The sequence below is a fragment of the Homo sapiens genome, chromosome Y, assembly GCF_000001405.40.
Source record: "Homo sapiens chromosome Y, GRCh38.p14 Primary Assembly".
NCBI classification, from domain to species: Eukaryota; Metazoa; Chordata; class Mammalia; order Primates; family Hominidae; genus Homo; species Homo sapiens.
In genome coordinates this window covers 7,344,500-7,361,579 of record NC_000024.10, presented here as the reverse complement: position 1 = coordinate 7,361,579, position 17,080 = coordinate 7,344,500, and the positions used below count along the sequence as shown (strand labels likewise).

General features: G+C 43.7%; 1 pseudogene across 1 annotated transcript in view; it reads right to left on the bottom strand.

Moving 5' to 3' along the window:
* Window positions 1-17,080, bottom strand: part of PRKY (protein kinase Y-linked (pseudogene)) — a 107,576-nt pseudogene that overhangs the window by 19,968 nt on the left and 70,528 nt on the right. Inside the window, exon 5 of the transcript NR_028062.1 lies at window positions 5,350-5,445. The product of NR_028062.1 is annotated as a protein kinase Y-linked (pseudogene) (transcript). The remainder of the gene's footprint in view (window positions 1-5,349; window positions 5,446-17,080) is intronic.

Below are 17,080 nucleotides of genomic sequence, written 5' to 3'. Positions count from 1 at the left end.
TAAGTCCCTCCAATGTTGTCCAGAGCTAGAAACAGCCTACAAAACGTCCATGAATTCTATCAAATCCAGGAATGCCAAAACATGCATATAAAGTATGATACTATTTATGGAACAGTCTGTTTGTCAATTATGTATTTGCCTCCATATAAAAAGTTTGTAGAAATCATACCTGATGTATAACTTCTAAAATCATTGCTTACATACATAAAAATATATACACCCATGTCCATGGCAGAACTACTGACAAAAGCCAAAGGTGGAAACAGCCCAGGCGTCCATCCATGGATGAATGGATAAATAAAATGAGGTCCACCTACACAAATAGAATACTATACAGCCATGAAAAGGAAGGAAGCTCTGACACAGGCTACAGCATGGATGAAACTTGAAAACATCATGCTCAGTGAAACAGGCCAGACACAAAACATTATATTTTGTACAATTCCATTTTTAGCAGAGCCCAGAATATAGAACTGTACAGAGAAGTCAGTAGATTAGTGGTTGCTTAGGGTAGGGGTCCCCAACCCCAGGGCCATGGACCAGTAGCAGTCCATGGCCTGTTAGGAACCAAAATGGGCCGCACAGCAGGAGGTGAGCAGCAGGTAAATGAGTGAAGCATCATCTGTATTTACAGCCACACCCCATCATTTGCATTACCACCTGAGTTGCACTTCCTGTCAGATCAGCCATATTAGATTCACATAGGTGCACACACCCTACTGTCAACTGCACATGTAAGGGATCTAGGCTGCATGCTCCGTGGAAAAACTGTCTTCCACGAAACTAGTCCCTGGTGCCAAAAAGGTTGGGGACCACTGGCTTAGGGCAAGAGAGGAGGAAAGATTAGAACAGTGATAGCTGAAGGGTGCAGGGTTTCTTTTTTTGAGCTGATGAAGACGTTCTAAGATTAACCACGGGGGTGGCTGTACAAATTGTGTGTATACTAAAAGCCACCAAATTGCACATTTTAGATGGGTAAATGGCATGGCGTGTGAATTCACTCTCCGTAAAACTGTTTAAAAAATAAAATAAATAAGTAAACAAAATAATGAGTAATAACTTATACATTGTTATTGCTCTATTAACCTTGCTTGAGGGGAGGGGAGATCTCCCAACATTTTGGGAGATCGACGGGCATGGATCACTTGACGTCAGGAGTTTGAGACCAGCATGGCCAACACGGTGAAACCCCACCTCTATTTAAAAAAACAAAAAACAAAAAAATTTAGCTGGGCATGCTGATGCTTGCCTGTGGTCCCAGCTACTTGGCAGGCTGAGACACAAGAACTGCTTGGACCCAGGAGGTGAAGGTTGCAAGGAGCTGAGACGGCACCACTACACTCCAGCCTGGGCAATAGAGTGAGACTTTGTCTCAAAACAAAACAAAAGAAAAACAGCAAGCTGCTTCAATTAGGATGGGTAGTTGGAGATGATGTTGAAGACTTCCAGGAGATTAGGTGAGTTCTAAGATGCATATTTATGGAATTAGAAATGATCATGTGTGTCTGTGTGTACACATATAATACACAGAGTATATTATGTATAATAATGTACATAATATGATATAATAATGTAATATATTGAAGTCCCCCAAAACAATCCAATACCTATGACTGCGGTGTTAGCATCTAGGCTCTCCCGGCATAAACTATGCCCCAGGGTAAGTAGCATGAACTTGGACTGGGCCACTCCTGGGTTCTGTGACAGACTGTGGAGTCTCTGCAAGCCAGGTGATGTCCCAGGGTCAGACTCCACCATCTAGACTGTGAATCTCACCAGTCCCATCTGATTGGAAATTTAACCAGAGTTTCCTGCTGCCGTGCTTTCTGAATTACGATGAGATGCTTGTCACACTTCACTGCTTCTCTGTCTCAAAGTAAAACTCAGAGACCATCTGTCTCCCTCCCGCTATGGCTGGGATTTTGTAACCATTGTAAGGCTGAAAAGCTTTGAGCAGGGTGGGGAATATAAACATCACTGAAAAGTTAGAAACCTTTACAGTACTTACCGAGTTTCTCCTTCATTATTTTGACATGCTGCCCCTTGCCAAAAAATATCAAGGTCATCAAACACTATACCCCCAAAACAGTCCCAAATAAATATGGGGCTTTTTTTCCCCCATAAAATTTACACCACTGTCTGCCCCGTTAGTGCACACACTAAACTTAAAGCTGACTGGAGTGGGATTATAAGACAGATTTCTTTATGCTTTTATATTTTAAATAAACTTGTTTCCTTATAATTCCAATCCAATCAGCTTTTAAGTATGTGTGCTAATGGGGCAGGCAGTGATGTGTAAATTATAGGGGAAGAAAAGCCCCATGTTTATTTCAGGATGTTTTGGGGATCACCTTAATAAACTTCATTTTGTTGTTGCTGTTGTTGTTGTTGTTTGTTTTGTTTTGTTTTTGGTGTCTGGCATGTAAGAAGATGACCTTGTTTTTTGTTTTTTGTTTTTCTTTTGGTGTTTGGCATCTAAGAAAATGAAGATTTATTTAAAATACAGGGCACAGTGGCTTGTAATCCCAGCTATGCAGGAGGCTAAAGTGGCAAGATCAGTTGAGACCAAGAGTTTGAGACTAGTGTGGGTAACATAGTAAGACCCCCCATCTCTACAAAAAATCAAAACATTAGTGAGGCATGGTGGTGTGTGCCTGTAGCACCAGCTACTCAGGAGGCTGAGGTGGGAGCATCATTTGAGCCCAGGACATTGGGGCAGAAGTGAGCTATGATTGTGCCACTGCACTCCAGCCTGGGTGACAGAGCAAGACACCCGTCTCTTTAAAAGAAAAAGTAAAATACCAAAGCAAATTCTTGTAAAGAAGTTTAGAAAGCAAACACTGTGGATGAGAAGGGGCCCCCCAAAAAGGCAAAGCCCTATAAAGGAACAATAGAAGTGTCCACAGCTGTAGATGGGTCCCTTGACCTCAGGATAGCAATATATCTGCTGGCACTCTTTTGATTCACCACAGCCAAAATTCTAAACTTTATTTATGATCCTGGCAACAGCTGGCTCCTCTCAGATCCAGATACTTTCAGGCATGAAAAAAACACTGGCAGATAAAACTTCTGCTGAATTGGCAACAAGTCCTAAAGCTTTGTTTTGGTGTTTTTCTTTCTTTTAAATGACATTTATTTCTATAAGGAATGTCAATTCTGACGTGCCATATGCCCAGGCAATATGTTTACCCAGTCAAATGTTAAAAGCTGCAGGAATCAGCATGACTTTAAAAGCTGAGAATCAAAATTCTAGCATCACAGACAACCAGGGACAGCAATTTGCATAAGAAATGTGTCACTAAGGCCAGGTGCAGTGGCTCACACTTGGGGAGGAAAAGGCAGGAGGATCACTTGAGCCAAGGAGTTCAAGATCAGCCTGGGTAATGCAACAAGACTCCCCCATACCCATCTCTACCAAAAAAAGGAAAGATATGAGTCATTGAGGCCTTGCTTCTCAGCCAATTTGATAAGATTTAACAAATAATGGAAAGAAGTGAAGTTTTACTCAACTACCACTGTTTCTGCTCTTGGTGGACCCGCACTGGGTATGTAAAGAGACAGGGGCATCGTGGGGAACACTGGAAGGGGCTGGGAGCTGCATAAAGACAGGCACGTTAGATTAGACAATACCAAGATGGTCACTGATGGTTCCCTACTCTCTAGGAGAGAAAGAAGGAAAAGTGGCAAGAAACTGGACTTTGATTACGCTTCTGGTTTGTTCTACTTCTGTAATTCCCTTTTTTGTTGTTGTTTCCACAGAACATTGGAAACCTCTCTGTGTGTTTGTGTGTGTGTGTGTGTGTGTATATATATACATACATGTATATACACACACACACACACACACACATTTTTTTTAATTTTAATTTTTTTTTTTGAGACAGGGTTTCACTGTTTTATCCAGTCTGGAGTGTAGTGGTGCAATCACAGGTCACTGCAGCCTCGACTTCCTGGGCTCAAGCAGTCCTCCCACCTCAGCCTCTCTAGTAGCTGGACCACAGGCACCTGCTACCATGTCCGGCTAATTTTTTAATTTTTTGTAGACATGGGGTGTTGCTACATTGTCCAGGCTGACCTCAAACTATTGGCCCCAACAAATCCTCCTACCTCAGGCTCCTGAAGTGCTGGGATTACAGGCATAAGCACCTCACCTGGCCAAACTCGATCATAAAAGTGCTTTGCCATCCACTTGATATAATGTCACTCAACTCAGATGGGATTTGGAGCCTGAGAGAGAGGTTCTATATAATCCTTTCTATTTCCTTCCAGAGCAGTTGGCTTCTGAGGTGCTGTTTCCCCTGACACCTCCCTGTCTTACCATTCACTGGACAGGGTGTCCCTTCTAGGTGACTCATTGTTAAGCAGAGCCTCATTTTCTTGCTAAAGTCTTTTAAAGCCTGCCTCTATTGTGTCAAACACAACACATGCTCAAGCCAATAAAACACGACCTTATCTTCTGTTCAGACAAAGGACCTCTGGTTAGGATGGGGTGCATTCGCCACCAAGAAACTCAACTCAACGTAGCCAGTAGCCCCACAAGGGCATATTCAAAACAACCTGGTCCATCACCCTGAAATAAGTCTTCTCTGAACTGAACTACCACCAGCTCATAAGAAAATAGGCCATGGAAAAGAAAAGTTTAATTCTCAACTAGATGCATTTAGCTCTAGTTTGTGCCCAGGGGGCTGGTGCGCCCACCAACTCATCTGAAAAATACAGTGAAACAAACAGAAATCAGTGCTTATTACAGTAAAAATGGCTACCAGTTGACCAGATTGGGTAAGGTAGCCAGAAAACCAAAAGCATTCTTATATTTAACAAAATGTCTTTTCTCCCTACTGCCACAACCTTAATAAAATGTGCATCCAAAGTTGCCAATATCTAGCAACTATATAAATGTTCTTAAAGCAACATGCTCAGAACTGAAAATGCTGATGTTAAAAAGGACTTAGAGGCTGAGCATAATTTAAGCAGGAGAGAAAGGATAAAACTCTGGTAAACCCATCAACAGCTCTGCAAGCCACAGAATTAGGAGGATCCTTCTTGTCAAATTGCAAAACTGCTCTCTTATAAAATATGATGACAAACTCATTAATTGGCTCATTTTAAATATAACATACCACCAAAAGAACACAATACAGCCAAGACTCATTAAAATGTGAAGCTATCATTAAAGTAGAATACTGAAAATCTTTTTCTTTTCTTGTGGAAAAGACAACTGTCCAAAATAGTTTATGCGCAGCACATTTAATAACACAATATGGTATCCTGCTGAGTGCGTGCTTTCATGGTGATTTTAGACACTTTAAAAATAAACACACCTCATGATGAGGCAAACGGTTTACTTACTTTACATGGAAATCCAAATGTCTGGGGAAATATAGTTTGCCTGCAAGAATTTTCTGATAAATGCCAAACGGGTTGTCATCAAAAAATGGAGGAAACCTGTTAGAAAAACAAACATGTATTTTTAGTGGGGAGTAAGCATGGAAAAAAATCCCTGCTTTGTAACGATAGCTATTTCTGCTTCACACAGGCAGAAGATAATTTATTTCACATGTTCTTCCCCACACATTGAAGTTGTCACGATCTGAAAGCACGTAATAGTCAGATGGTTCTAAGAGGCAAGGCACTGGGTGCCACAGTCCGATGCAGGGGAAGCTCCCTTGGAGAGAATATAAAGACCATTTGAGAGACATCTGCTGAGCAGAAGGTAACTCCTTTGGGCATCTTATTCAGAGGGGCCACCAGCCCATTCCTTAACTGAGCACTAAACAATGGATAGAAATGCTCTCTCAAGGTTACCAGGGTGAATCCATCACCATGACCAAGCATGGAACTCAAACGTTTCAACAGCAAAAAGATAAGCACTCCAATTAAAAAATGGACAGGTGGTCTTCACAGGCATTTCTCAAAAGAATACATGGAAAAGGCCAACATGTATATGAAAAAAATGCTCAACGTCACTAATCATCAGGGAAATGCAAATCAAAAACTCAATGAGGTGTCAATCATCTCAACCCAGTTAAGATGGCTATTATCAAAAAGACACTGTAATCCCAGCACTTTGGGAGGCTGAAAGGGGTGGATCACCTGAGGTCAGGATTTGAGATCAGCCTGGCCAACAGTGAAACCCCGTCTCTACTAAAAATACAAAAATTAGCCAAGTGTGGTGGTCAGCGCCTGTAGTCCCAGCTACTTGGAAGGTTGAGGCAAGAGAATCACTTGAATCCCTGGAGATGGACATTGTAGTGAGCCAAGATTGTGCCACTGCACTCCAGCCTGGGTGACAAGAGTGAAACTCTGTCTAAAAAAAAACAAAAACAAAAACAAAAAACAAAAAAAAAAAAACGTATACACACAAAAATAACAATGCTGGTGACGATGTGAAGAAAAGGGAACTCTTTTTTTTTTTTTTTTTTTTTTGAGACAGGGTCTTGCTCTATCAACCAGGTGGGAGTGCAGCGGTGCAATCTCAGCTTGCTGCAACCTCCACCTCCCAGGCTCAAGCGATCCATCTGCCTCAGCCTTCCAAGTAGCTGGGACCACAGTAGGTGGCACCCACCACCATACCAGGTAATTTCTGTATTTTTTTTGTAGAGGTGGGATTTCACCATGTTGCCTAGGCTGGTCTCAAAGTCCTGGGCTCAAGTGATCCACCCAGCTTGGTCTCCCAAATAGCTAGGATTACCAACATGAGCCACTGTGCCTGGCAGAAAAGGGAACTCTTATGCAATGTTGATGGGAATGTATACTAGTAGAGCCACCATAAAGAAGAGTATGGAGGTTCCTCGAAAAACTAGAAATAGAACTCCCATCTATTATGGAGTATAATAGATGGCTGGCGTATGACCCAGCCATCACATTACTAGGTATTTGTTCAAAAGAAAGGAAGTCATGATACTGGAGAGACATCGGCATGCCCATGTTTACCACAGCACTATTCACAACAGCCAACATAGGGAATCAACGTAGGTGCCCATCAACAGATGAGCAGACAGGTAAAGAAAAGGTGGTATCTACACACAGAATACTATTCGGCCATGAAAAGGAATACAATCCTCTGATTGGCAGCAACATGCATGAAACTGGAGGATGTTATGTTAGGTGAAATAAGCCAGGAAAAGAACATTAAACAGCACTTCTGTTTACTCATACGTGGAAGCTTAAAAAAAGCTCATCTCCTAAAAGGATAAAGAAGAACAGAGGATACTAGAGGCTGGGAAGGGAAGACATGAGAGACAGGGAGTGCTTTGTTAAAGGATATAAAATTACAACCAGATAGGATGAATATGTTCCAGTGTTCTATAGCCCTGTAGGGTGACTATAATTAGCAATAACATGTCGTATAGTTTCAAACAGACAGAAAGAGGATACTGAATGTTCCTAACACAAATAAATGGTAAATGATTGAGATGATGGATATGCTAATTACTCTGATCTGATTACTCCATTCTTCGTATCAAAGCATCACTGTGTACCCCATGAATATGTACAATTATTATGTATCAATTTAAAAAATAAAATAAGCTTGGGAAATAGGGCACAACCCAGTCTTAAAAAAAAAAAAAATTAGCTGGGTGTGGTGGTATACATGTGTGGTCCCAGCCACTTGGAAGGCTTAGGTGGGAGGATCACCTGAGCACAGGAGGTCAAGGCTGCAGTGAGCTGTGATCACACCACCACACTCCAGCCTGGGTGATAAGAGTGAGACCTTGTCTACAATACAATACAAAACAAAATAAAATAAAGTATTTTAAACAAGTCAAATAATACAATGCAGTGCAATGCAGTGCAGTGCAGTGCAGTACAGTACAGTAGAGTACAGTACAGTACAATACAATACAGGCCAGGCACTGTCGCTCATGCCTATAATCCCAGCACTCTGAGAGACCAAGGCAAGCAGGTCACTTGAGGTAAGGAGTTCAAGACCATCTTGGCCAACACAGTGAAAGCTGTCTCTACTAAAAATACAAAAATCAGCTGGGCATGGTTGTGGGTGCTTGTAATCTCAGCTACTTGGGAGGCTGAGGCAGGAAAATCACTTGTACCTGGGAGGCAGAGGTTTCAGCGAGCTGAGATTGTACCACTGCACTCCAGCCTGGGTGACAGAGTGAGACGGAGTAAATAAATAAATAAATAGAAATGAAATCAAATATAAAGTAATTGTTAAAGTAAAGTTTATAGTGGTGAATACGCCACTATGGCCAAGAACAGGACACTTGCAGAGGTTGCAGTGAGATGAAATTGCACCACTGCACTCCAGCCTGGGTGACAGAGTGAGACGGAGTAAATAAATAAATAAATAGAAATGAAATCAAATATAAAGTAATTGTTAAAGTAAAGTTTATAGTGGTGAATACGCCACTATGGCCAAGAACAGGACACCTTTCTCGAGGCTTCCTTCAGTCTACAGCACAAGCAATAGCCGATATGTCCTGCCTTGGAGAGCCCAGTACTGACCCTGCTTGCACAGCACTATAAGGCACCCACAATAAACTGCAACTGAACGTCAGTGAAGTCCTTTTTTTTTGAGACAAGGTCTTGCTCTGTTGCCCCCAGGCTGGAGTACTGCAGCGTGATCCTGGCTCACTGCACTGAACCTTGACCTACAGGGCTCAAGCTATGCTCCTACCTCAGCCTCCTGAGCAGCTGGGTTTACAGGTTCACACCACCATGCCAGGCTGTTTTTTGTTTGTTTGTTTGTTTTTAATTTTTGGTAAAGATGAGATCTCACTATGTTGCCCAGGCTGGTCTCAAACTCTTGGGCTTGTGCAGTCTTCCCACTTCAACCTTCCCAAATACTAGGACTACAAGATGTGAGCCACCACACCCATCAGTGAATTTCTTTATATTCCTCATTCACAGAACAGTAGGTGGCACACAATGTGTACAGGCCGAATGAAAGAGCCTCCAGTTATACTTTATCAAAAATTTCTTTTTTTTGCGACAGGGTTTGACTCTGTCACCCAGGCTGGAGTGCGGTGGTGCAATCATAGCTCACTGTAGCCTTGACCTCCCCCAGGAGGCCATCCTCCCACCTCAAACTCCCATGTAGCAGAGACCACAGGTGTGTGCCACCATGCCTGGCTAATTTTTTACTTTCTGTTGGGATGTGGTCTCACTATATGACCACTTTTAATGTGCAGGAGCAGAGTCTATACTTGTAACTGAGACTGGGTGGTCTGCAAAGCTGACCAAATCTCATTACCCAAAGAAAACCATTTACTGATCCCCAGAGACCAGAAGAAAGATGGAAATACAAAAGACAGCCTGGAAGATAGTGGTACCTGTGTAAAAACAAGATTGTCATACTACGCTCTGTCGACTGTAGTAAAACTACTGTAGTCCTGCTGAAGAAACCAGCAGACTTAGTAATACCTTGAAATTTTAAAAATATGTTAAATAAACTAAAAAAAATACTTAAAACTGCAAAGACCAAGCTAAATCCAAGAAAATCTAGAAGTCAACTGTATTAGTCCATTTTCAGTCTCCTACGACGAACTACCTGAGACTGTGTAATTTATAAAGAAAAAAGATTTAACTGACTCACAGTTTCGCATGGCTGGGGAGGCCTCAGGAAACTTACAATCATGGCTGAAGGCAAAGGAGAAGCAAGGCCATATTTACATGGCGGCAGATGAGCAACAGCAAGCAAAGGAGGAAGTACTACACTTTAAAACCATCAGATCTCCTGAGAACTCTATCATGAAACAATACTAGGGCAATGTTGCTAAAATGTCGGAAACCACTCCCATGATCCAACCACCTCTCACCAGGTCCCGCCTCCAACACTGGGGATTACTTTTAAACATGAGATTTGGGTAGGGACACGAAGCCAAACCATATCATCAACCAGTAAGTGTATACTAGATCCCTACATGTCCGAAGCACAAGTTATACTTCTGAGATTTTCTGATATCGCCCAGGACAGAGACTCATACTGATTCAAAGTTATGCTTTCTATTTAGCTTCTTTTGACTTAAATACTCTAATCCAGGTATTCAAGCAATAGAAATACCTTATAAAATGGAGCTTTCAAATGATACCCTCATTGATGATCAGAAATGCCAGAGAGCAAAATTAATTCTCTTGTAGCTTCCAAATCACTTCCTGACCTTAATGAAATTCAATGGAGTGGGTGGAATGAGAGGTCTCCAAAAAGATATATCTGTGATCCTGCCCCAACAACCTATGAATGGGACCTTATTGGGAAATAGGGTCTTTGCAGATAGAATTAACTTGAGGAGCTTCAGACGAAATCATCCTGGAATAGGGTAGGTCCAAATCCAATGACAAGTATTGTCATAAGGGACTGAAGAGGAGGCACACACACAGAGGAGAAGGCCACATGGGGACAGAGGCAGAGACTGTAGTGATGCGGCCACAAGTCCAGGGATGCCTGGAGCCCCAGGAGCTGGCAGAGGCAGAAAGGATCCTTCCTTGGAGCACAGTCCTGAGATACTTTGATCTCAAATTTCTGGTCTCCAGGACTAAGAGAGGATAAAGTTCTCTTGTTTAAACCTTCCAGTCTGTGATAGTTTCTAACTGCAGCGTCAGGACATTCATACGTCGAACTACACATGTGAACTGTCCAATACACTGCAGTGAAGAAAAATTCAAAGAAAAACAAAGAGGAGAAATATGAAGTACAAAAATGGAAATCAATGGGAGAGGTGACAGAGAAGTGGGGGAGGGTTACATGAGGAAATGAAAGTTACCAGAGAAAGGTAAATGATTAGGTATGTGTGACGTGGCCCTAACATAGCATTTCTTCCGTCTTAAATAACATTTCAGTTGCTCGTCTTGCACTTTAGCATGAAGGTGAGTTTCCCAATAGGGTATCTCTTTGGGCCGCTGGTCCTGGAGTTACGAGCCACCACAACGTACTGAAAAACCACCTAGGCCAGGCTGGGAAGCAGAGCTCTGAGTACAGACACTCATGCGATCTGCGCCAACCCTGCTGCCTCAGACGTTAACAACCTCCCGAGCCCATCCTCCCTCACCTGCCCGCAGCGTTCTAACAGTAGTTAGGGGAGTCGCATTCCTGTTTCTCTCTGGGTTTGGGGGGCGACCCTGTGTCAATACATTCAGCTGTGTGAATAATGCACAAATACAGGAATGGAGCATTAAACTCCAGGAGCAAATGTCTCATACATACCTAAAAACATCTATGGAGAATATTAAACGAAGTGCTCTTGGACAGTAGACATTACATAAGATTATGGGAAAGGTATTAATAAGCGGAAAAAAATAAATAATAAGTGAGCACTAACTGATGATCTTGCCTGAAAGAAAGAGCAGAGACAGTGTGTGTGTGTGTCTGAGAAACAGCACTCCCCCGGACGCCTGGGCAGTGCCCTCTGAAACCCTCAAATTTCTGTCTCTAAACATACAGACTGCTTCCAATTCTTACCAAGCGGAGAATAAATTCTCATTATACGGCATTTGGCATTATTAAGCAAGTTAAACTGATCTGTGGTGACAGCTACACTTGCAAGGACTATCTGCTAATCAGCATGAATGCAAGCTCAAGATTTTTGCCTGAAAAATTCATGCCCAGGCTAGGCACAGTGGCTCACACCTGTCATCCCAGCATTTGGGGAGGCCAACGCGGGAGGACTGCTTGAGCCCAGGAGTTCAAGACCAGCCTGGACAATAGAGAAGACCTTGTCTCTACAAAAAATTTAAAAACTAGCTGGATGTAGTGGTGTGCACCTGTGGTCCCAGCTACTCAGGAGGCTGAAGCAGGAGAATCCCTTGAGCCCAGGAGGTCAAGGCTTCAGTGAGCTATGATTGTGCCACTGTACTCCAGACTGGGCGACAGAGTGAGACCCTGTCTCAAAAGAAAAAAACACTGGGCACAGTGGTTCGTGCCTGTAATCCCAGCACTTTGAGAGCCCAAGGCAGGAGAATTGCTTGAGCCCAGGAGTTCGAGACCAGCCTGACAACACAATGAGACCTCATCTCTACAAAAAATTTAAAATTTAGCTGGATGTGCTGCTGTGTGCCTGTGTTCCCACCTACAGCCTTCTGTGGTCCCAAGAAACTGAGGCAGGAGGATCACTTGAGCCCAGGAGGTAGAGGCTTCAGTGAGCTATGATTGCACCACTGAACTCAAGTATGGACACAGAACAAGACCCTGTCTCAAAAGAAAAAATTGCTGGGTGCAGTGGCTCATGTCTGTAATCCCAGCACTTTGGGAGGCTGAGGTGGGTGGATTCCTTGAGCCCAGGAATTCGAAACTAGCCTGAGTAACATAGCAAGACCCTATCTCTACAAAAAAATTTTTAAAAAATCAGTCAGGCATGGTGGTGTGTGCCTGTCATCCCAGCTACTCAGGAGGCAGAAGCAGGAGGATCACTTGAGCCAGGAGGTGGTGGCTGCAGCAAGCTGTGACTGCACCACTGCACTTCTCCCTGGGCGACAGAGCAAGACTGTCTGAAAAAAAAAAAAAAGAAAAAAAAAAATTCTTGCCAATTGTACCATACTACCTCTATCATTTGCCCATAAAATTTTAATGCAATCATCCACCTATCTACATCTTCCCATAAAATAGATGGTCCTGGCAGAGGTGGTGTTGAGAGGAGGTCTCCTACTCAGAGACCTCAGCTGGAAAAACACCCTCCTAAACTATCAGCTGACACACTACCTGCCCCAGTTCTGAAGACCAGGGCTGGCATTGGAAGACACGTGCTTTGGAAATGCCTGCAAGAAAAGGAAGGCAGAGATTTTTAGAGAAAAGAAAAAAACCGTCACTAGAATTTCATCCCACCTTGACTTCTTCCTCAAAGATTCCTGTCCCGATACCTTCAGACTAAAAACTAAAATCTAGGCTGGGCACAGTGGCTCATGGCTGTAATCTCCGCACTTTGGAAGATTGGCCAAGGCAGGTGGATCACTTGAGGTCAGGAGTTCGAGACATCTGGCCAACATGGTGAAACCCAGTCTCTACTAAAAATACAAAAATTAGCTAAGCATGCTGACATATGCCAGTAATCCTACCCACTTGGGAGGCTGAAGCAGGAGAATCGCTTGAACCCGGGAGATGGGGGTTGCAGTGAGCCAAGATCACAGCACTGCACTCCAGCCTGGGCAACAGAGTGAGACTCTCTCCAAAAAATAATAATAATAATAAATAAATATAAAATCTGTGCTCCTCAGATAAACCAGTGTGGCTGAGGTGGCAGATGAGAAAGGGAAACTCGAGGGCCAGATAAAGTGGAAGGAGCAAGCACTGGGGCGTGTGAGGGTTGGGGCAGAGTGGAGGGTGAAAATATAGCCCCGGGCATGTTGACTTGGGCATCACAGCAGTGGCCCTCAAAGTGGAGTCCCAGGGTGGCTTCCTGACCTCAGTTTAGGGATGGCTGAGGTCGTTTTTCTGACTCCAGTTTTGAATAGTGATGAACTTTTCTCCTATGCCTCAACTAAACACCACGCAGCACAGCAGACAGGCTGCAGACAGAGGGAGGAGAGGCCAGCAGCCCTTGTGAAAGCTAGACACTAAAGAGATTCACAAAACACAGAAAATACAACCAACCTCCTCACGAATGTTTTCTCTCTTTTTAGAGACAGGGTCTCTCTGTCGCCCAGGCTGGAGTGCAGTGACGAGACCACAGCTCACTGCAGCCTCGACCTCCCAGCCTCAGTGATCCTCCCGCCTCAGCCTCCCAAAGTACTGGGGTCATAGGCATGCATCACCATGCCCAGCTAATTGTTTATTTATTTCATTTTATTGTTTGTAGATATGAGGTCTGGCTATGTTGCCCAGACTGGCCTCCAACTGCTGGCTCAAGTGATCCTCCTGCCTCAGCCGCCTAAAGTGCTGGGATTAGAGGCGTGAGCTTCCATGCCCAACCTGAATGGTCTTAGTTCTACAAAGTGTGGTTACACGTATTTATTTTTTCATTTAAAAAAGCTATTTATATTCACCTCTGCGACTATCATTTAACTTCTCATATATATTATTTATGTATTCTATTTATTTATATTTCAGTCCCACTTTAATTTCAAATGCAGTCAGCGTAGACAACTATAACACACAGAAATGAAAGTTCTGCGGGTTGTTAATAACTTTGAGCTGTGTGCTGAAGGGGTCCCAAGGCCAACATGTTTGAGAACCCACTGCACAATGCCTAATGCTCCCCGTGGAAGAGGCTCCATTGCAGACAGAGTCCACCTTCTCTAAAATCTTCTGCACCCTTTGTGCTATGTTGTATTGTCTTAGTTTGTTCCTATGAAGAAAATTCATCACTATTCAGATCTGTCGTTGGAAAAATGATCTCACTCATCTGCTGAAACACACTTCAGGAACCCCATAGTCCTCTGGGATGCCACTTGAGAATCACTGCTGTCATAACTAAGACAAGACACCCTGGGGGCTTTCTCTTACCCTGCACTCTGCTGTATGTCTTGTGTGTCCCTGTGTTTTGTTCTTGATGCTTTTGCTGATTTTATTTTTCCTTTTTCTGACACAGGGTCTTGCTCTGTCTCCCAAGCTGACGTGCACTGCTGGAATCTCAGGTCACTGCAGCCTCGACTTCCTGGGCTGAAACAATCCTCCCACCTCAGCCTACTGCAGAGCTGGGACTACAGGCACATACTACCACACCAAGCTAGTTTTATTTTTATTTTTTGTAGCAATGGGGCCTCAGTATGTGGCCCAGACTGGTCTTGAACTCTTGGCCTCAAGCAATCCTTGTGTCTCAGCTTCCTCAAGTGCTGGGATGACAGGCATTTGAGCCACCATGTCCAGCCTTTACCTAACTTTTGAGTTAAACACTCTGGGAGAACACAAACATGGAAATGGATGAGAAAAGAGAACATGATGGGAGAAATCAGAGCTGAGCTCGGGCCTTGGAAAGTGCACGAGTGATTTTGTTCCAGAACGTGCCACGCAATTTTCATCTGACCTAAACATGTCTCATTATGTGAAAATAAAATCTGCATTATGATATGATCTCCTTCCTAATCACATGAAAGATTTTACCACATAGATGGTTTTCTCTGTGCTTAGTGGAAGATTGAGATAATCAGTTAAAGCAATAAAACAGAGAAGGCACAGCCTCACTTGATCCTGCTAAGAGTGGGAATCCAGCAAATCGAGCTGCGATAGGAAAGGTGCAGACACGGGCTGCGAAGGGAGCAGGAGGACTCTGACTGCAGGCCAGCTCCACTTATGTGTGCAGCAGCGCCCTCCCTCCAGCCACCAAAAGTTTCCGGGTTCAAGGAGGTGAGGAGAGCAGTTTGGGAGCATTGCTCTCAGAGGCAGTCAACACATACAAAATCAAGTTGGTTTCAGAGCTGCTAAGCAGTATAAAGAAAACAGATGGGCTGATCGGACAGGGCATGGCCCAGGAGAACAGGAGGAGCCCCAGAGGGCTCTGGGAGCAAGTAACAGGTGAGCTCGCAACATGTGCAGTGGAAGAGAAAGGGCCAGCCCCAGGGACACCCATAGGCAGGGGGACAGGTCAGGCTTCCTGGCATGTTTAAAAAGCAGTGGGAAGACAAGGAGGGGTGAGGCTGTTGTCTAAGGCGGGTGGACAACCCACAGACAGACTGTCTCAGAACCTCACGATAACGAGCCTCCAATTCTACTTCAGTCATCCAGGAAGCTACATGTGGGCTCTCAAGAGAAGAGGGACACACATAGACAAGACACCTGCAGCTGCTTCAACGAAAAGGTACTGCAGGCAGGAGATGCAGGAGACTGTGAGAAAGCTGTATCCTGCATCTCCGTCAAGGCAAGAGCTCAGGCCAGCGAGAGTGGAGGGAGAGCCCAGAAATGCCTGGGGAGAGTTGGGGTTGGCGAGGCTTGCCACTCTTACAAAACCCACCTGTGCAAAGAGACACAAGGTTGCTGAGAAATAGGGGAAAAAATTCACCCAGAAATAGATTCTAATTAGGAAAACGGAAAATAAAAAAAGGCTTACTCTGAATCAACAGCTCCCTGTCTCATAAAATGCACAGGACAGCAGGCTGGGCTTTAGATTGGGAGATGTTTATTTATTTAATTATTCTTTTTTATTGAGACACACGTGTCATTCTGTTGCCCAGGCTGGAGTGCACTGGCGCGAGCTCAGCTCACTGCAACATCCCACTCCCAGGTTCAAGTGATTCTCCTGCTGCAGCTTCCCAAATAGCTGGGATTACAGGCTTCTACCACCACGCCTGGCTAGTATTTTTTGATTTTTAGTACACATGGGGTTTCACCATGTTGGCCAGGCTGGTCTCAAACCCCTGAACTCAGGTGATCCGCCAGCCTCGGCCTCCCAAAGTGCTGGGACTATATGTGTGAGCCACCACACCTGGAATATTAATTTTCAATTAGCCTAATGATATATTATAATTAGGTTATTTTCCATTCTATTGTATTCTAATATATTTAAATATTCTAATATACTATAGCCCATTAACAATTCTGATAACTTTATATAATAATTCCAATATAGTTCTGACTGTAATATTCTTTTCTTTTTAAATTTATTTTTATGTATTTTAACTTCAGCGTACCCTGAGACTAACATTTTGTTTTAATTATATTCTAATAATTTTGTTATATTGTAACAATATTATGTTCTAATAGTATATTGCATTCTAATAACAGGCTATTCTATCCAATCACCAATAAAATTTGAGGCACATGCACCTCACTCTTCAGACCCCAGCATACAATGAATGATCCTTAGGCAATGCTGCCCTCGTGTGGTCGGTGTTATCATAGAGGGAAAATGTGGTGCTTTTCCCTGGGTGGATGCCAATCAATATGCGTTTTTTGTTTTGTTTTGTTTTGTTTTTGATACGGGAATTTCGCTCGTTGCCCAGGCTACAGTGCAATGGCGAGGTGGGATCTCAGCTCACTGCAGCCTCCACCTCCCAGGTTCAAGCAATTCTCCTGCCTCTGCCTCCTGAGTAGCTGGGATTAAAAACATGTGCCACCATGCCCAGCTAATTTTGTATTTTTAGTAGGAACAGGGTTTCTCCACGTTGGTCAGGCTGGTCTCGAACTCCCAACCTCAGGGCCTCCCAAAGTGCTGGAACTGCAGGCTTGAGCCACTGCGCCCAGCCTGCCTAAGTTATT